The sequence below is a fragment of the Homo sapiens genome, chromosome 22, assembly GCF_000001405.40.
Source record: "Homo sapiens chromosome 22, GRCh38.p14 Primary Assembly".
Lineage (NCBI taxonomy): Eukaryota > Metazoa > Chordata > Mammalia > Primates > Hominidae > Homo > Homo sapiens.
Window position 1 is genome coordinate 48484875 of NC_000022.11, and position 18919 is coordinate 48503793.

General features: G+C 57.5%; 1 protein-coding gene across 1 annotated transcript in view, besides 4 other annotated features; it reads left to right on the plus strand.

Annotated features, from left to right (window-relative positions):
• Positions 1 to 4678: 4678 nt before the first annotated feature.
• Positions 4679 to 18919, plus strand: part of TAFA5 (TAFA chemokine like family member 5) — a 262380-nt gene continuing 248139 nt past the window's right edge. Inside the window, exon 1 of the mRNA NM_001082967.3 lies at positions 4679 to 4830. Coding sequence (NP_001076436.1) covers positions 4719 to 4830 — 112 coding nt within the window. The 5' untranslated portion in view covers positions 4679 to 4718. The remainder of the gene's footprint in view (positions 4831 to 18919) is intronic.
• Positions 6757 to 7262: an enhancer, noted in NCBI's record as "H3K4me1 hESC enhancer chr22:48887443-48887948 (GRCh37/hg19 assembly coordinates)". NCBI's record gives its function as "activates a minimal SCP1, AML or CMV promoter by ChIP-STARR-seq in primed H9 embryonic stem cells {active_cell/tissue: H9 hESC(primed)}" and the evidence as "EXISTENCE:reporter gene assay evidence [ECO:0000049][PMID:30033119]".
• Positions 10232 to 11092: an enhancer, noted in NCBI's record as "H3K4me1 hESC enhancer chr22:48890918-48891778 (GRCh37/hg19 assembly coordinates)". NCBI's record gives its function as "activates a minimal SCP1, AML or CMV promoter by ChIP-STARR-seq in primed H9 embryonic stem cells {active_cell/tissue: H9 hESC(primed)}" and the evidence as "EXISTENCE:reporter gene assay evidence [ECO:0000049][PMID:30033119]".
• Positions 11955 to 12814: an enhancer, noted in NCBI's record as "H3K27ac-H3K4me1 hESC enhancer chr22:48892641-48893500 (GRCh37/hg19 assembly coordinates)". NCBI's record gives its function as "activates a minimal SCP1, AML or CMV promoter by ChIP-STARR-seq in primed H9 embryonic stem cells {active_cell/tissue: H9 hESC(primed)}" and the evidence as "EXISTENCE:reporter gene assay evidence [ECO:0000049][PMID:30033119]".
• Positions 14381 to 15294: an enhancer, noted in NCBI's record as "H3K4me1 hESC enhancer chr22:48895067-48895980 (GRCh37/hg19 assembly coordinates)". NCBI's record gives its function as "activates a minimal SCP1, AML or CMV promoter by ChIP-STARR-seq in naive H9 embryonic stem cells {active_cell/tissue: H9 hESC(naive)}" and the evidence as "EXISTENCE:reporter gene assay evidence [ECO:0000049][PMID:30033119]".

The window sequence follows — 18919 nt, forward strand, 5'->3', positions numbered from 1 at the left end:
CCTCCCTCCTTCTCTTCCTTCTCCTTCCTTCCCTCCCTCCTTCCTTCCTTCCTTCTCGACAGGGTCTCCTCTATCGCCCACGCCAGAGTACAGTTATACAGTCAGAGCTCACTGCAGCCTCGAACTCATGGGCTCAAGCGATCCACCCACCTCAGCCTCCCAAGTAGCTGTGACTACAGGTGTGTGCCACCATGCTGCCTAACTTTTTGATTTTTTGTAGAGATGGGGGTCTTGCTCTGTTGCCCAGGCTGGTCTTGAATTCCTGGCCTCAAGCTACCCTCTCCTCTTGGCCTGCCAAAGTGCTAGAATTATAGGCGGGAACCACCACACCCAGCCATGCCCAGGTTCTCTAGCCAGAAGCCTGGGGAGTCACTTGGGACATCTCTGCCATGCCCACCACTCCGGAGTCCCCATAGCCTGTCAGTTCTACTTCCTGGATAGCTGCCAAGCCCCCCACATCCCTGCCTTGACAGCTGCTCCTGAGAAGCCAGCCACCCCGGCTCTCATCTGGATCTTCCCAGCCACTGCCAAGCTGGCTCAATTCTCTCTGCCAACCTGGGTCCTCCCCCAGCTGTCAGAGTAACCTCTTGGTAAAATGCACATGGGATATGTGTGTGGAAGGTGAAAGCCTGCAATTGTTTTCAGAGGGAGGCACAGATCCCTGGGAGAGCAGGCACAATAGCCCGCTACAGCCCCCACCTTTCGCGACCTGCTGTTCAGAGACCTGTGTGCTTCCTTTAGGAGATAGCGCTGGCCTTGCATAAAATACATTTTTTCTCCCACTGTATCAGCAGGGACATCCTGACATCTCACCCCGTGAAAACATTCAGCTCCAAATTCAGTATCTCAGCAAGCCCTTGGTCAGTTGGGCACCCGCAACCTAATGGCAAATAGAAAACACCCTCACCGCAGGGAGGAGTGGAGAGAGAACAACCCACCCCCGCCGACCACAGCAGAACACAGCGAGCAGTGGGCTCACATCCCCAGGAGGACAGCGAGGCTGCCACCTGACTGCAGTACGTGCCTGGGTCCGCACCCTGGTCAGCCGCCCCTCCTCTCTGGGTAACGCCCCTTTTTCTATTGCCCTCCTCCGACACCCTGGGTGCCCCGCCATGCAGGATGCCCCTTCTATGGGTCAGGCCTCTGAAGCAGTCCCAGGACTGGTGGCTTGGTGTGGGGTGAGAGCCGAGGACTCCCTCAAGGGTTACACCATTGCCATCCCCTGCGTTTTTGGGTAGGAGTTAAGGTGATGGTGTGATTCCTTAATAGACTTATTTAGGTTTCAAAATCTAAACTCCTGTCAGTTCTGGCTAGTAATCAAAACCAGCCCATCAACAACAACAACAAAATCGTCAATCCGTAGCGTGTGTTGCGATCCAGAGCAGAGCTTTCTGTTCCCTAGCAACCGAATTCAGGCTGCGCTCACCCCCCATCCTCAATTTCCATCTTGGTCTCTCTCTCCAGGCCTCTGGAAACAAGGCCGGGATGGGGCTGGACCAGGCACCTGCCCTTGCCTTCGGGCTGCCCGGGGGTGGTGTCTTTGTAATTACCTCAAGGTTGCTGTCCCAGGGAGACCCCATCTCTTCAATCTGATCTCGGACCCCACACCTCCCCCCTGCCTCCCCACTCCTCAGGTCCGTCTACTTGTAACCTGGGGTGGAGAATTCACCTTTTCTAGCGTCACCATTTTCAGACTCTCCACCATTCTAGACTCCAAGTCATAAGCACCAAGGGCTCCCCTTCCATTCCCTTTTTCTGGAAATATTCAGCATGTAATGAACCAGGCACTGCTCTCCCATAGCCCAAGGTTCCCCGCCATAGCCCTAATGTTGCGAGCACAAAAACCTCAGTGTCTGAGTTCCTGGATACAGCAGGCCGGGTACCGCACTGCACCCCTTCTCCTCTGCTTGGGAGCCCTCCCCAGCCACCCCATTGTCACCACAGCCCCTGTCCTTTGGCAAGAAGCCTCCAATATACCCTCCCAAAGTCAAGGTAGACTGCATCTCTCTTCAAACCATATTTTTTAAAGAAAGAAAATTACTATAAACCAAATTATTGGGAGGGCAACCAGCATTTCAAAAATGAATTAGGATACAATAGAAAACATCAGAGTATTTTTGGGGTAAATATTGCTTCGGAAAGTTTCACTCCAAGCATGTTTGTGCATGCGTGTGTGCATGTGTGTTAAAGCATGTGTGTGCATGTATGTGCGTGTGTGTGGATGTGTGTGCCTGTGTGTTCACGTGCGTGTGTGTGTTCATGTATGTGCATATATGTGTGCATGTGTGTGTGTGTTTGTCCTAAGGATGGACCAAAAGGGCCTGGAAACCAGTCTCCTGGAAGCCTTCCCTGGCACACACCTTGCTGTGTTCTAGAGTGTGATTTTAGGGTAAATGCTCCTCTCTTGTGCTCCAAGAGTGCTCTCCTCTCCCTCCCATCGTGACGCTTGCCACACTGCACTGGAATTGTTTGTTTCCTTGTCTGTTTCTCAAACTGACTGTCACTTTCCAGGGGGACAGAAAATCTATGTCTTGTTGGCTTCCCCAGTCCCAGTGCCTGGCCCAAGTAGTTGCTCAATAAACAGAGGTTGAATGAAGGAATGTCTGGCACAGGAGTTCGGGATGGACAGGATGAATTGGAATCTGTAACATTTTAAAAGCCACATCCTTTTTAGCAGGAAAAAAGGCTTCAATGAAAGGAATGAAATTGTAAGGGTGGAGACCTGGGCATCAATGGCTGACTCCACAGAATCCCATTGAGGGAGCCCCTCCCTGCCAGGGTCCCAGGCCCACCCTGCACATCCAGAGGCAAGAGGTACGTCCCTCATGGCCACCCCAAAGTTGTCAGGAGCCCCAACTTCTGCAGAATCACCTCCCTGCCAGGAAAGAGAGCGGGGAGAAGCTGCAGTTGAGAAGATACTAAACAGGAAAGTCAGCGTTTTAATTAAACAGGATTCAAAATTGATGGGAGAAAACAAGCATGGACACAATCATATTAACACAAGAATCCCGTCAGAGCCCCTGGCAAGGAAGCTTCAGTGCACAACAACCACTGGGACGGGGGTTAGAGGACTCGCAGTGAGAGGCTGCCTTTCTTTGCTCAGTTTCTCCTAAAGTGTTGTGTGTGTGTGGATGGGAGAGTGTGTGTGTGTGTGTGTGTGTGTGTGTGTGTGAGAGAGAGAGAGAGAGATTCAAGGAAAATATGTGTGTGTGTGGTGCTGTGTGTGCATTGGGGCATGAATGCTTGCATGCATGAGTTGTGGGTGAGTGTACGGCTGGGGACAGTCCACATCCCTTCACCTCCCTGGACCAGGCCTCAAGATGAAGGGATGATGCTTCTTCTCCCTGGTTGCTCAATCTGACTTGCAGGCCCTCTACTGGCTCCTCAGAAAAGGGTCTCCAGCGCCAAAAGAATCTCCTGGGGTGCTCAAGCCCCCAGCCCTATGCAGGATGGAGAATATCTTGTGAGTTCCAGAGGAGGGGTTCTATTAGTCGTGTGCACGAACCTGCAGGAAGGCAGAGCTTGGGGTGGTGCTGTGGCAGCTACCGGCAGGGGCCAGAGCCTCTCCAGGCAGCAGGGCCATCTGGACATCCTGGACTGGGGAGCGTATCTCCTGGGCTGTAGAGGGAGGTGCAGAGGGGACATGACTAGGAGGGTTGGAGATGGGGAAAGTGTCCTTGTGTCCTTACAAGGCTCATTTTCCCCCCATCCTTTGCTTGTTATAGGAGTGAACCTGTCTTGCAGATGATCGTTGACTATGCAGGTAAAATAGATTGCGATCATTGTCATCCTGCTCAGAAAACCCACCTGGATAGGACCAGTCCTGGGACTGGGAGCCCGGAGACGCCACTGAGAGCCGGTCCTGCAGGGACTCCAGGGAGATGAACCAGGAGATGGCTCAGCAAGGACCAGGCAGTGGCAGAGGTGCCCGAGTAGAGTGATCGTGGGGCAGAGGACTGAGGGAAAGTGCGTGCCTGTGCCTGGCAGTGCCGCCCCAGGTGGAGGAGGAGCCCTCAGGGTGGTGGGCTTCCGATGAAGGGTGACTCTGCTGGGGTCTGAGGCTGTGCTCCCAGTGGACTCAGGGACCCCACTGCACAAGCCCGATTTTGGGTAACAGGGCACACCTAGGGAACAGGCCCAGAGCACCCTCTCCTTGGAATAAACTCCGGATCCAAGTCCCAGAACCCACCTTAGGAGGCGTCTGCCGCCCCCGCCCCCTCCCCAGCCTTCCAGGCCCTGGCTGCGGTGGATGGGGGCGCGGAAGGCCCAAGTGCGCGAACTTCACCTGGCCCGGCCGTCCTCCCCGTGGGGGGCCCAGGCTGCGGGCGCGTCAGGCCGTCTCTGTCGCCATCCGGAGGAGCGGCTTGGGCGCCGCGTCCCCTCTGCCAGGCCCGGGTCGGCGGGCGGCTGGAGCCCCCAGCGGTGGCGGGCGCGCGCCTCTCTCGCGGATGCCGGGGCGCGCGTAGCCGGGGCGCGCAGTGACGCCCAGAGCGGGGCCGGCGTCCCCCTGGCGGGCCGGCGCGGGGTCGGCGGGCGCGGGCGCGAGCGCGGGCGGCGCGGGCGCGGCGCGGGGCGCGGTGGGCCGGGGCCCGGGCGCGGCGGCGGCGGCGGCGGAGGATGGCGCGCGCGGGGCCCGCACGTGGAGGCCGGCGCGGGGGCGCGGGCAGGGCCGGCTGCTGAGACGCGCTGCTGCCCCCCGCGCGGGCGCCGCGGCTTCAATGGCGCCATCGCCCAGGACCGGCAGCCGGCAAGATGCGACCGCCCTGCCCAGCATGTCCTCAACTTTCTGGGCGTTCATGATCCTGGCCAGCCTGCTCATCGCCTACTGCAGTGAGTACCGCGCGGCCCCGGCCCCGGCACGGCCCTCTGGGCCCCGGACCCCCTCCTCCGGCCCCGGCAGGCGCCCCGCGGGCCTCCCGGAGTCGGCGCGGAGTTACGAGCGCCGGGCGCATGGTCCCCCGAGTCCCGGCCGGTCCAACGCTGCGCTGGGCGGGCGAGAGGGTCCACCCGGGTTCCGGGCGCTCGAGCACTTCGGGGTCGGACGCCCCGGCCCGAGCCTCCCTTCCCTGACTCCCCGGCAGGGCCCGGGCTCCAGGCCCCGGGTGGCGCGGCCCGTCCCTGCCCGGCGGTCGGAGCCCAGCCAGCGGCTTCCCGGCCGAGATGCGCGCTCAGGAGGCAGCCGCAGGTCGCGGAGGGCGGGCGGCGCTGCCGGGGTGTCTGCGGAGCGCCCTCCCCGTGCCTCAGCCCGGGACAAGGGGGGAGGCGGCGGCCGAGCCCGGAGAGGAGCTCTTCAGGCAGGAGCCCAGCCTGGGCTCGGAGGAGCAGCTGGAGCTTCCGCTTTCCCGGGAAACGGGCTCGTCAGGCGCCTTCTGGAAAGAGAAGCGAAGTGAGGGATGGGATGCCCGGAGGGGGCTCGCCGCGGCCGCGGACGTTTCTCGGGTCGTGTCTGGGGCCCGAGCTGGTGACCGGCGGGACTGGCGCGGGCGCGGGCTGGGGTGGTGCGGGCCAGTGGGCGCCCGGGCGTGAGCTGAGGGCTGGGGTAGGGGGTGACCGCCGCGGGCTCCCTGTTGCCTGGAGTGAAGGGTGGGGGGTGGCCTGTGCCCCTGCCGAGGCTCCAGGCGGGTGGAATGAGGGGTGGTTGGAGTCCCGGGTGCAGACTCCAGCCTCGGCGCTGGGGAGGGTGCTCAGCATCCCGGGGCACGTTCGCGGCTGGTGGGGTAAGTGGGGGCCGCTCAGCGTCCCGGGCACAGGCTCTGGCCCCAGATGGCGCGGGCTGGTCGGCTTCAGCTCCGGGAGCTCCGGGCTTCTTGTCTTCAGCGGGAGAATAGGACGGGTGCTGGGGAGCACCTGTCATGGAGAATTGCCATGGGCGCGGGAGGTGATGGAAAAATATGGATTCTTTACAAAAAAAAAAAAAAAAGGCCAGCACCGAACCTCCCTCCACAGACACCACCTCCTCCAGAGCCCCGGGCCTCCAAGCTCCCAGTCCGATCTGATCCTTCCGCTGTCGCCAAAATGAGAGCACAGTGGCCCAGGGAGACCCGGGCAGCCGCGGGATCGGCCTCCGGAGTCCTGGGACAGCCCAGCTCGCCAGGATCGCAAGGGAAACCCGGGGACCAGAGCAGGAATTTTCCTACTTGCTTCAGCGCGGTTATGCATTTCCCTAGAAATGCTGTGGCACCGAGCGGGGAGGGGTCGCCAAGCCTGGGGGTCTCAACCCGAGCTGCCCAGGCAGACGAGGCCACCGTGGGTGCGCCGGCGCCCCTGGGAACTCACTGGCTGGCCGCCTGCAGGGAGCAGGGTCTGGGGGTTTGAGCGACATTTGTGCCTGCCCCCGAGTTTTCCGCGGCCGTCACGGGGCCTGCAGGGGTATGTGGGGGGATTCCCTAGAAGATCCCCAAGCAAGGCTTCCTAGGAGATGTAGAAAGGGTTAATGGCAGGTAAACTCTGTGCGGAAGAGGAGGCATTTGAATGCACTTCCTGGTGGCATCACCCCAGAGGAGAGGAGAGAGAGGAGAGGAGAGGGAGAGGGGGCTCATTCAGCAGTGTTTGGGGAGGGGCTGTAGTGCCCTGAGCCCACTACAGGCGGCCCATCCCTGGCTGGCTGCTAGAACCCAGGACAACACCTCACCCCCAACCCCCAGCAGCTCAGCAGGTGTGGAAAAGAACAACTGCTAATTGTTGCGAAGTACTTGACACCAGGGCCCTGTGGCTTCAACACCGCACTTCCCGAGCCCGCGAGGAGCGCGGTACACACTGTCTCAAGACACGCAGCGTCAGCCCTCTCCCACCCTGCGCTGCATCCTGAATCCTAAGGTGTCAGCACGTTGTTCATCCGGACGGGCTCACACCTTCCTGAGACTGTCGCCTGCTCTGCCGAGTGGAGTCCTGGTGTCCCAGCACAGACATCTGAGCCTGCTGCTTAGACACGCTGAGGATGGGAGATCTGGTTTCCACACTCATCCCTCCTCCTTAGGAGGCCTCCCCAGCGTTCTGGAAACAGCCTTTCGCCAGGACAAGGACAATTGGTAAGAAGGTCTTACCAGAGTAGCAGAAATAATTAATAACAGAAGCTTGGGTGAAGCACATTTTTTATGGCTGTTTCCATCTCCATGTAATGGAATAATTGACAATAAGAGACACACCCCATTACACCAGAAATGTACTTGGAGAAATTAAAACATTTCACTAAAATACAAAATAGACATAATAATAATTTATAGCTTGGAACTGCAGTCCTAGAGAAAAAAAATCCCCCCCCCTTTTTTCAGAACCGATAAAGCAAATTAAATGCAAATTAAACAGTTCCTAGGATTTTCATTCTTTCTTCCAATAGATCTGGGATGAAGAAGAATAGTTCGTATTCTCGTTTGTAAATTGTTTTTGTCATCAGTAAGGATTTTTATTACTCAAAATGTCTTTGTGTTATGAAGCAGATATATTTGTATCATATTAATTAGGGAAACTGATAAGTATCATACAGCGTTCAATTATCCTGCCTATTAAATCTGTGTGTTTCTCTGCAACACATAAGGTGCTGGCTTCCTAGTGCAGCTAGGAGGAAACTGGATTCTTTCTTGGCCTGGTTTTCTGTTGGGGGGATTCTACTGTTCTTGGCCCAGTGAGAGTCCGGCCTTCTTTCTTTCTCGTGTGCTGGGATCCATATAGAAGGAGATGGGCTCCACCGTCTGGCCGGAGAAAGACCTGCAGTCCACCAATTAGGCTAGTTGCTATAGTGACACAGCCTTGTCATTTTCTCCTCCTGGGGAAGAAGTGCCAGGAGACGCAAACAGGGGAAAGGGGCCCTGGATGGCTCACTTTAAAATGCATGCTCGGTGGTCTGCGACCATCACGGTGACAGCAGGCTTGGTTTCCTCCGCGGCCGGTGCTGCCCATGAGGGTTGTTGGATGGTTGGTAATAAGTTGACTTGCATGATGATGAGCTTTGATGGGGAAGTTGAAGCTCTTCTCCATTCTGGTCTGAGGAAACCTCTCTGGGTGTGGCTTAAAAAGAGTTGATATAGGTTGTTTTCCCCTTAGCGTATTTGGAGTAGAGAAGTCTGTCTGCCTAGATGTGGTTCTTGCCTAGATGTGGAATGGGACCTCTTGACCCAGCTAGAGCTGGTTGAGGGTGTTCTGTGCCCGCCGCTGAAGATGTGATCTTTCCACCCTGGCATCTAGGATAGAACAGCAGCAAGGGAGAGAAGCAAATGAGGACCTGGGGCAACTCCCTATGACACCTAAGCACTGACTCGGTCCTTGTGTGCAGCGTTGAAATCAAAGGTGAAGGACACTCTGCACTAGCCTAGATTCCATGTGCCCTATTCAGCACGAGCAGGTGGATGGTGGGGACCCAGACTATATTTCAGCGTACCAGGGAGAGTGAGGAAGACAGACAGGTTCACTATGTGCTGGACATGGAAATTTCCAAATAAATCCCGTCAATATTGAGCTGTACCTTCCAGTTAAATCTCATGTCCTCATCTATAACTATGAGAAGAAATTACAAACAACTTTGGAATTGTTTTGAATCCATTAGAATCCTAACTGAGCGTAGGCACTGTAGTGTTGCATTTCCTTTATAAATACAATTTATTGCATATTTAGGAGCGATTAGAATATGTTACTTTCCTGCTGTTCAAATTTTGTTCTGGAGTTCTCGAAGAGGTAAAATGGAAAACAGTGGAGGCTTAATGAAGTGGTGCCGTTCAGAAGTTTATTTCTCATCTTTTTTTGAAAAAATTCTCACTGTGTTTTTATTTGATGAATTTGGGGCACAAGAAGATGGGATGTTTGTTTTTTTTCAGCTCCATAAATATAAATTATCTGTCTCTGGGATTTCTTTTAGCCGACATCCATGCCCTAGGCTCAGTGAGGAAGAGGCAGGTTTGTCCCCTCACAGGATTTTCCCACGCAGGGACCCCTGGGGGAAGGGACTTCCGAAGGGACCCCTGGGGGAAGGGACTTCCCAGCGGCTCTAGACAGTGCCCTGGAGAGCCGCATTTACTCCTGGTGATCCTGGCGGTGCCCCACTGTCCCCTCCCACCTTCCACCCCTGCTCTTTCACTGAGATAGGGCCAGAAGGGGGGTCTCCACTCTTCCACTGTCCACACAGGTGTCCCTGCTGGACCTCCCTGAGGCCAGAGGACACTTGAACCCAAGAAGGAGGCTCCACCTGATGGGTCTCTTCCATACCAGGCTCCCCAGCTAAGTTCTGCCCCAGAGTTCTGAGCTCAGGATCTGCCACTCGACATGCTCGGAATGAAATATGTAGATCAACTTTTGTGGCATGAAGCATTTTCAGGTGACTTTTATGGGCGTAATTATGGGAAAATGTTATGATAATGTGGCACTAGAAAAGGGAAGAAAAGCAAAACATTAAAATCCCCATTTCTTTATATAGGCTCGCATCTGCGCCGATTTAGAAGGGCTCCTTTTTGCATTAAAATGTGGCGCTCTGGAGTTAATGACCTCTACAGATTGCCACCTGTCACCCGGAGCACTGTCAGCGATGGTCCAGCCCCAGCATTCAGGGTGGAGATGGACAAGGAGGACCAGAATCTGATCAGGTGGCCGGAGTGAGCACTGGGGTGTGGAAAGCCCTGTAGATTGATGACTGTTTGTTAGGAGAACTGTCCTTGAGGCTGTGTCAGGGGCCTGTGTTGGTGCAGATGCAGGGGGCCCATAGCGTCTGGTGTGTCTCTTCTTAAATGCTGCCTTGCACATGGTCCTGGGGCTTCTCCACTGACAAGGGCCCCCTGATCTGCCCCCAGTGTGGATGGTTTCTGTGGAGGCCCTGGATAGGCCTGGAGCCCAGGAACAGCAGCTCCAGCCACCCTGCTCCTCCCTTCCGGACTTCTCCGCCCTAGAATGTGCTAAGACTCACGGCAGCAGCACAAGCTGCCTCGGTGCTGGGCTTTCCAGAAGCGGGCCTGGCAGCTGGCAGCAGATCTGGGCGACTATTCTCGTCTCTCCTTCACCCCGGCGAATGTGGTAGAGGGCTCCCTGAGGCTTTGTAGCGTTTACTTATTTATTAAAATGGCTGGCAGGAATCGGGTGTGGAATTACTTTTATCTCCAACTAGGCGAGCGGGACTCCTCTGGAATCCCCTGGTCCTCCTGGCTCCAGGGAGGCTGAGTTCCAGCTTTGTATGCCAGCAGCATCCTGCGGGACGGTGGGTCTGGGCCCAGTGGGATGGCAGCCCCGCAGTGATTCTCCCTGGAAGAGGCCTCCCTGTCCCTTGGCGTGTCACCTGCCATGGGGTGAGCCTCCGCTTTGGAGGGGCCTGGCTCTGCGGGTCTCCTTCCAGCACTGCTCGAAGGAGGCAGGAGTGGTGGAGCTGGCTGCAGGCTTGCGGGTGAAGCTGGAGACGTGGCTTCCAGGGTATTCATTTAATTAGTCTTGGGTGAGCTCTAGCCATGCGCCAAGCCCCGGGGGCAGAGATGGTCACTCTCCTGGAGCTGACATTCCAGAGGGGAGGGGACAGTCAGTCGGCACAAAGCAAAGGCCGAAGATGATGGGGGAGCAGCCTGGGCTAGGCCCCTGTGTTCTGGTGGGTTCTTCATGCTACCCTTCTGTGTCCCAACCCAGCCGCCACCTCAGAATGTCAGGGACCTCCCAGAGGTGGTGAGAGGCAGCCCAAGATCTAGCTCTGGATCTGGTTTCCATCTGGGGAGGCTCCTCCATCCTTGTTCTCCCTTCCCTGGGCTCCCTGTGCCCCTGGCCCTGCACCCAGCCGGCATGTCCATTCGTTGTCCCAAAGACATCTTGCCCGTCCTCTCTCTGTCTGGGCTGCCGTCACTTGAGACCTCACACCTGCTCTCCCTCCTGAATGTAGCAGCGTCATCCTCAGTGGCTTCTCCGCCTCCAGGCCCCTGCCCTGAACCATAACTTCCCTTGGAAGAACCTGGCTGCCTTCGACCCTCCTCCCCGGCTCTCACCCTCTCCCCTGGCTCACCACACTCAGGGCGCCCAAAGCTGAGCCCTCCGGCCCAGGTGGGAGTCTCCATCCCTCTGTCCAGCCCTGGAGTCCAATCCTGAGAGCAGCCTCCTGCCTACAGGGCCTTCTAGAAGCTTCCCAGGAAGCTGCTTGTGCTCATTCCTCTCCCACATACTCCGGATTGGACATAGGTGCTGTGGTGCTCCTATCGCCCGTGAAGGCCCGGCTTACTCCCTAAATGCAGTGGATGCAGGAAGGCATGGTGAGCTAGGCCAGAAAGTGCCCACCTCATGTCTTAGAGGATCCCCTGCTTCCTGAGGCATCCCCTGAGCATGCATCCCCATCCCCTCTCCAGTGCTGTGCGTGTGTGTTGTGGTGGCCACTGTCGGGGTCACTTTCTTCCTTGTTTTGGGCTGTGAGCTTGGGGCATGGCTGCTGGCCTCGGGGGACTGACTGTGGGCTCTCTGGACAGATGCTTTTGGTCACGGCATCTGCTGGGCAGTGAGCTGTTGGGCTGTGAGCTTGGGGCATGGCTGCTGGCCTCGGGGGACTGACTGTGGGCTCTCTGGACAGATGCTTTTGGTCACGGCATCTGCTGGGCAGTGAGCTGTACGGTGAGGCAGCCACAGGGAACCTCCCAGCTCTCAGTGGGCTGAAGCTCCAGAAGGTCACGTGGATGTGGAAACCCTTCTATACAATGATGTCAACCCTGCAGGCAGAGGAGCCAGGGGAGTCAGGGACGCCTGACCAGCTGTGGGGGACAGAGGAGGGCCCACTTGTGGTAGGCGATGTCTTCTGACGTCACCCACTCCACCCAGAGCTGGGCACAGAGGGGTCTGGCTCTACCTCTGCTGGGACTGCCTGCTCGTTTAGGGCGCTGTGTGGTCCTGGTTTGCAGGTGCACCGCAGGGAGAGTTGTGAAGGGCAGGCGGGGTGGTCCAGCCATCAGGGGCCCTGGTTTCCTGGGGGTTAACGGCGTAGGCTGTGCCACCTAAAGGCACATGCAGGAATCTGTCGCCCACAGCATCTTCATGCTTGGTTCAGGATCTCTGAATGAATATAGGAAAGAAAATACAGAGAAAGCAATACCACTAACACAGTAACAGGCTGCTGTGCTTGCATTTCACCTTCCAGAAAGAGGCTTGGCGCCCCCTCACCTCCCAGCCACCAGGGGAGGAGCTGCTGGACTGGAGGCCCCCTCCTTATGGGGAGCGGTGGGGCTGGTCCCGCACAGGGACTGCAGGCCTGCCTGCCTGACTCCAGGTCTGGGCTTCCTCCCGGTGCCAGCTCCACTCCCCACGGGCTCGGGGCTCCCCAGCAGTGGCCCATCCATGGAAATCAGCCCTGCCAGGGACCATGGCCCCGTTCCGCCCCCGCCTGCGGTGTTCCAGGCCGCGCCTCCCTCCTTCCCGTATGGGCGGACCTTGCCCTGGGTGGAGGGAGGACGCAGGGAGGAGAAGCCGGGGCCTGCGGTCCCACGGGGCCCGGCAGGGTTCTTCCATCTTCAGGGATGCTCCGCAGCCTCGCTGCTGGTTTCTGGGCCAGCCCCTTGCCCCTGTTTCTGCACTCGTAGAACAGCTCTAGAAAAGACGGCATTTCCGCCTCAGCGCAGCCAAGAAGCTTGAAAGACAAGACTGGAGTGTCCAGTGGCCAGGGGTCATCAGTCTGGGTTTAGGCCTGGGGGCGGGGCTGAGGCCTGGGGGCGGGGCTGAGGGTCAGAGGAGTAGCTGGAATCCTGGGGGCGGGGCTGAGGCCTGGGGGCGGGGCTGAGGGTCAGAGGAGTAGCTGGAATCCTGGGGGCGGGGCTGGAGGCCTGGGGGCGGGGCTGAGGGTCAGAGGAGTAGCTGGAATCCTGGGGGCGGGGCTGAGGCCTGGGGGCGGGGCTGAGGGTCAGAGGAGTAGCTGGAATCCTGGGGGCGGGGCTGGAGGCCTGGGGGCGGGGCTGAGGGTCAGAGGAGTAGCTGGAATCCTGGGGGCGGGGCTGAGGCCTGGGGGCGGGGCTGAGGGTCAGAGGAGTAGCTGGAATCCTGGGGGCGGGGCTGGAGGCCTGGGGGCGGGGCTGAGGGCAGGGGCAGGTTTGGAGGCCTGGAGGCGGGGCTGAAGGGTGGGGTGGGGCCCACCTGGAGGCGGGGCTGAAGAGTGGGGTGGGGCCCACCTGGAGGCGGGGCTGAAGAGTGGGGTGGGGCCCACCTGGAGGCGGGGCTGAAGAGTGGGCTGAGGGTAGGAGAGGCTGCAAGCCTAGGGGTGGGGCTGCAAGCCTGGGGGCGGGGCTGAAGGGGCAGGGCTGGGGGCCTGAAGGCGGGGCTGAAGAGTGGGGTGGGGCCCACCTGGAGGCGGGGCTGAAGAGTGGGCTGAGGGTAGGAGAGGCTGCAAGCCTAGGGGTGGGGCTGCAAGCCTGGGGGCGGGGCTGAAGGGGCAGGGCTGGGGGCCTGAAGGCGGGGCTGAAGAGTGGGGTGGGGCCCACCTGGAGGCGGGGCTGAAGAGTGGGCTGAGGGTAGGAGTGGCTGCAAGCCTAGGGGTGGGGCTGAAGAGGCAGGGGCTGGAGGGCTGCTGTCCTCTTGCAAACTAAGTCTCCTGGATTCCAAAGATATCTTTGGTTCTAACAGTTTGATTAATAATAATAATATGTGGAATACCTGGGAAGAGCTCAGAATTGGTAGGTATATTTAGTAGGACTTTTCTCGTTGCTAGAGTGGAAAACTCAAACCCTCCTTTTGGCCTCTTTTTCTGGACTTCTGCAGTGACAGCTCCCCAATCTTTGTTCTCGTTAAAGTTGCACTTGTTCCAATTTCTCCCAGTTCAGGGTTTCTCAGGGCAGCACTGGGGTCATTTAGAGCTGGGCCATGCTCTGTGGCAGGGGTCTGCCTGTACATGGCGGGGCTTTGCGAGCACCCCGGCCACCCCCCACTTGATGCCAGGGGCCCCTCCTCCCAGTTGTGACAACCAAAGATGTCTCTGGACCTTGCCGCCTGACCCTGGGACAATCAGCCCACTGGAAGCCCTGCTCTAGCGCACCTATACCTTGTCTGTGGCCCCAGCAAGCACACTTGTGCTGGTATTTCCTGGTGTGGACTCAATACCAGCAGGGTGGCAATCTTACAGTTTCTGGGTTTCTCCACTTCTGCAGCTGGACGGGCCAGCGTGGGGGTCTGAGGAAGTTCAGCCCAAGTCCCCGTCCCGTGCGTGTCCCTTGCCTCCCGTGACTGTTTCTCTGTGCAGAGACAGCTCCTGCAGGCTCAGTGCAGCCCCTCCCAGACCGGCGGAGCTGCTGGAAAGGCTGTCTGCCGGGAGGGAGGTGTCTCTGCACGTTTCCACACACTTCTGTTTCCAGAGCTTGGAATCAGCGCAGGGTTCACCAGTTGCTTGCAATCTCTTCTCTGTCTTAATTTCTCCGCATTTCACATGTAACCGTGCTGCCGATGGTGATGAAGCCATTTAGAGGCAATCAAACACTCCCGCACCGACGGCGGCGCCCATCAGCCTTTCCCCTCATCTTCCTGCTTGTTTCATTACGCCTGCCTTTCCAGGAGGTGGCTGAGTCCCCAAGTGTGATTTTTGGAGATTTCTGTGGTGTCTACAGCCCGCATTTCCTAAGTGGATTTCTCCCCAGGAAGTTCTGCTCTGCTGGTGGGACCCTTGGTTGCCTAGAGTTTGCTTTATGTCCATCTCTGCGCCTCCCCCAGCCTAGCACCGACGTGCCCTTCTGTTCTAGCCGGCTCCCCTGACTCTGGTCCCTGGTTCCTGGTCCCTGGCTGAGCTCAGGCTCAGTAGGGCCCTCCGCAGGGGGGTGGCGCCGGGGTCAGCCGGCCTGTGCTGGTAGAACACTCAGCTCCACTCTACACTGGATGCTGCCTCCAGGCAGGCTATTCTCATCCTGTGGGCAGCCTCCTGCCTGGGGCGACCTCTGCCACCCCCAACCTTTGTTGCTGAGTCAGGACTTTCCTGTTTCCAGGGCCGTCTTCCTCCCCTCTTTTTAGGGCAAGGCGGACCTTCCCTCCCGGGTCCCCTTGTCGTGCATGTGGTGGGCTGGGGCGTGGAGTGTGCTTCTGTTATGTGGTGCAAATGTGCGTTCCGGGGTGTTAGACAGCACTCCCAACACACACACACCCGTGAGTCTGCCTGCAGCTCCAGATCTGGTCAGCTGGAACCGCACCTCCCTTTGTATCCTCAGACTCCATGTGTCTTAAACCAAAGCCACCTTCTGTTCCCTTCAAATTCAGCAATTCTCAGAGACCCCTTTGCTTGGTAAGATGAGGGGAGGTTAAGGCTTTTCCTCTTTGGGCCTCAGTTTTCCAGCCCGAAATTGATGGTGCTCATTGTCTTCCAGACCCTCAATTTTAGGATGATAAAAACGGAGGTGACGCGGCAGGGTTGTACAGTTCTGTATCAGCGATCCCAGCCTCAGACTCCAAGGCCCCATAATGCAGATGGCAGGCTCGTCTGGGCCCTGACCCCACTCCCCTGTCCCTGACCAACAACAGCTTAAAGTGATGCTTGTTTGCTTTTGGCTTCAGCTTCACGGGCTAAGGGACTGATGGGATTTTGCTTGTAATTCACACAATGAAGTTGAAACATTGCTCGACAAACACCTCTAGTGTGTTTTCAAATAGGGGACGGGTCACTTGGGCCACTGTGGAGCAAAGTGAGCTTGCACAGACGGGTGACCAGGTGTCCCTGAGCACACAGTGCGTGCCGGCCTCCTTGGGTAGAGCAGCCCCGATGCTGCTGAGGAGGAAGGGGGTGTGGAAGGCGCCGGGCCCGCAGGCGGGCTGTGCTGTCCGCCTCTTCTCGGCTGAGCTGGAGAGTAAACCCTGTGAAACACGCATACTTAGCAGGCCTGACTTGCGCTTCCCGTGACGACGTGGCTAATTGGGAAGTGAGTCACCAGTATCTAGCTCGTAGTAGCACTGGGGGACTGGCTGACATCGCACTGTGTCCCAGAACCCAGCCTGCCGTCGCCGCCTCGGGTTCCTGGATGCACACAGACAGGGCTGGGGGACTCAGGAGGTGGGGATGGGCCTGGCCCTGCTCGGGTAGGGCTGGTGCTTGGTATGTGTGCTGTTTGCCATGGAAGAAGCTAACGGGAGGAGCTGGGGCATGCTTGGGGTCCTGTCAGGGACGCATCTTTGAAGGTCAGCCTCAAGGTCATCTCCCGCTGACTGCCCAAGGCCCCTTCCATGGGCATGGCCACTGTGTCCCTGTCACCTCCAAACTGGTCAACCAGGCCTTCCCAGGGCTTCTGGCCCTGCCTTCCTTGTCACCCCCACCCTTCCCCCGCCACCAGACATTCTGAGCCACTGCCTTTCTCGGGCTGTGAGTGGCTTTGCCTCCACCGTGGTGAGCCCCTCCCTCCGCGCTGCCACAAGACTGGCTCGTGCTCCAAAGCCTTGAGGAGCTGTGGCCTGAATGCATGGATTGATTGGAGTGAGGCCTTCTCTCCCGGGCACCGGGCACCTTGAGTCAGCCCCCGAGGCCTTCAGTGTGCCCAGGCCTGACTCCCCAACCTGCTCTGAGCAAACCTAAGGCCCGTTGGCCTTTTGGTTTTTGGTGCATTTTCCCGCCCTCGCGTCTGGGCGTTCTGTCCTGGAGACAGGCTCCAGCACCCGGGCGGTGTGCTGCAGAGGCTGGCGGCGTGAACTCGGGTGACGGCCTCTGCTTCCCTCCTGGACGCCTTCCTGGTCCTGGCCCATCTCTCCAAGGGAAGGGGCAGTCGGGGGTGCCTGGGGAGAGGTAGTCGGGGGTGCCCGGGGAGAGATAGAGGAGGGATGAGGACACAGGTGGGAAGGGCTCGGAAGGCTGAGTTCTGCTGACCTCCCAGGCCTCACGGGCCCCAGGGAATCTGATGGGATGCAGTAATGGGAACTGGGACTGAGACACAGCCCAGGAGTGTACCAGCATCTCCTTTCCTGTCCCCTGGAGGCCCCAGGGGTGTGGCGGAGTGAGGGCTGAGCCAGGCCGCTGAGTGTGGCCGCTCTTCTCAGCCCCTCTCTGTGCCCCGGAGGGTGCATCTGTCCCCACTACACCCAGACCCACTAGCACCCAGGCTTACTGACGTCCCCAGAATGGTCTTCTGAAACAGCAGGCAGAATGGAGGAGTTGCAGAGATGGGGTGTGCGGTCACTTCAGGGCACCCCATCCATTCCGCCCCATGCCGCCTGCCTGGTCTTCAGGTTTTGAACTTAAAGCTGGAGGGGCCGGTGAATACTGTCTGTGTGGGTTCTCCCAATGTCATTGCTGCCAGCCTGTGGCCCACCCGCTGTCTCTACCATGACGGTTTTCACCTGATGTTTTAGAAAAATAGATACCAGTTTTATGACAATGAACATCTCAGAATTTACTTATTTCTTTTTAAAAATCCATTGGATAACAAGAAGACTGAGGAGTCTGCCTGTCCTGGTTGACCTGCAAACAAATCTGCTTGGAGCTTTGTTGAGGCCGATGGTCTGAGATTAACATACAATGGGATTGGACTGGGAGAGAACCTAATTTGTTGTCATTTCAGTATCTCCTGTGTATTTGGTTTTATTACCTGTTGAGGCACATTGTTCTAAAGCATGCCTGGGGCCCGATGCCTTGGTGCTGCATTTCTGGGGGAGCTGGGAGTACTTTTGTCTTAGGCTTTTGCAGCAGTTACAGTGTTAATGGCTCCAAGACTTCTAATGTTTTGGACTCTGCTGCTCTGACTTGGGAGTGGCCTCTCTTTGGAATTTTTTTTTTTTTTTTTTTGAGATGGAGTCCGACTCTGTCTCCCAGCCTGGAGTGAAGTGGTGTGATCTCGGCTCACTGCAGCCTCCACCTCCCAGGTTCCAGTGATTCTCCTGCCTCAGCCTCCCGAGTAGCTGAGACTACAGGCGCCCGCCACCACACCTGGCTAATTTTTGTATTTTTAGAAGAGACGTGGTTTTGCCATGTTGGCCGGGCTGATTTCAAACTCCTGACCTCAGGTGATCCGCCCCCCTCGGTCTCCCAAAATGCTGAGATTACAGGCATGAGCCACCACCGCACCTGGCCAAGAGTGGCCTCTATTTCGAAAAGACACTTTTGCTGTGCTTTCAAATGGCTTCTCTTCTGTAGCATTCCATTCCCTGATAGCACATCCCAGAATGTAGCTAAATACCACCAACGGGTCATATAGGACTCATGTTCATTTATTGGTGCTAATTCATGCTTCTAGGCTCCTGCCCTGCAGAGGTGGAAGGATGTGGGTCCCAGATCCACGCGGGACCTTCCCATGCTCTTCCATGCAGTCATCTGTGAGTCTTGTTGGCTCATTTTCGGGGTTCTGTGGCTGTGTCGGGAGGCAGCGGGTGGCTCCTCTGAGCTGCCTGTGTGAGGAGGTCTGTCCCATTACCAGGGCTCTGCCATGTCTGTGAGCTGGAGAAGGCAGGGGCTTCCAGAGAGAAGAGTTCTTGCTGCCCCTGGGAAGGACCTCGGGAGCATGGGTGGGGTGTGTGCATTTGCTGAACACGTGAGTTGTGAAAAGTCTGGCTGGTGCCAGGTGCATGGGAAGCCACTGACTCGTGGGCCCCTGAGGGCAGATACCTTTGGCCTGGTGTCCCTCTTGCTTTACGCCAAGCACATTGTGGACGGGCCTTGCCAGAGCAGATGTGGACTCGTGAACTTGGGAAGGTTTCAGAACCCACAGCCTAGAGACGAGGGCTCCCCACATGGAGGAAAGAGCAAAACGCATCACCAAAAGTGCCAGGGACAGTGGAAGCCGGTAGCCAAAGGCTTCCCAGTCTGTCTCAGCACTTTCTCCTGTTTCCAGCCATGGGCTGCCATCCAGCTACAAACGGAATCTTCAAAAAGACTATGCTTTAATCAAAATTAGTGTTTCATTGATGAAAATAGACGTGCATTTGCTGAAGGTGGTCATTTTTTGATCTACTTTTGCTTCCATCATTTTGAGGTTCTCAGATGAAAAAGAAAGTGTTTTCGAACACGGGAGAAGCTCTAAAAGTCCCAAGTGCCATTGTCCCC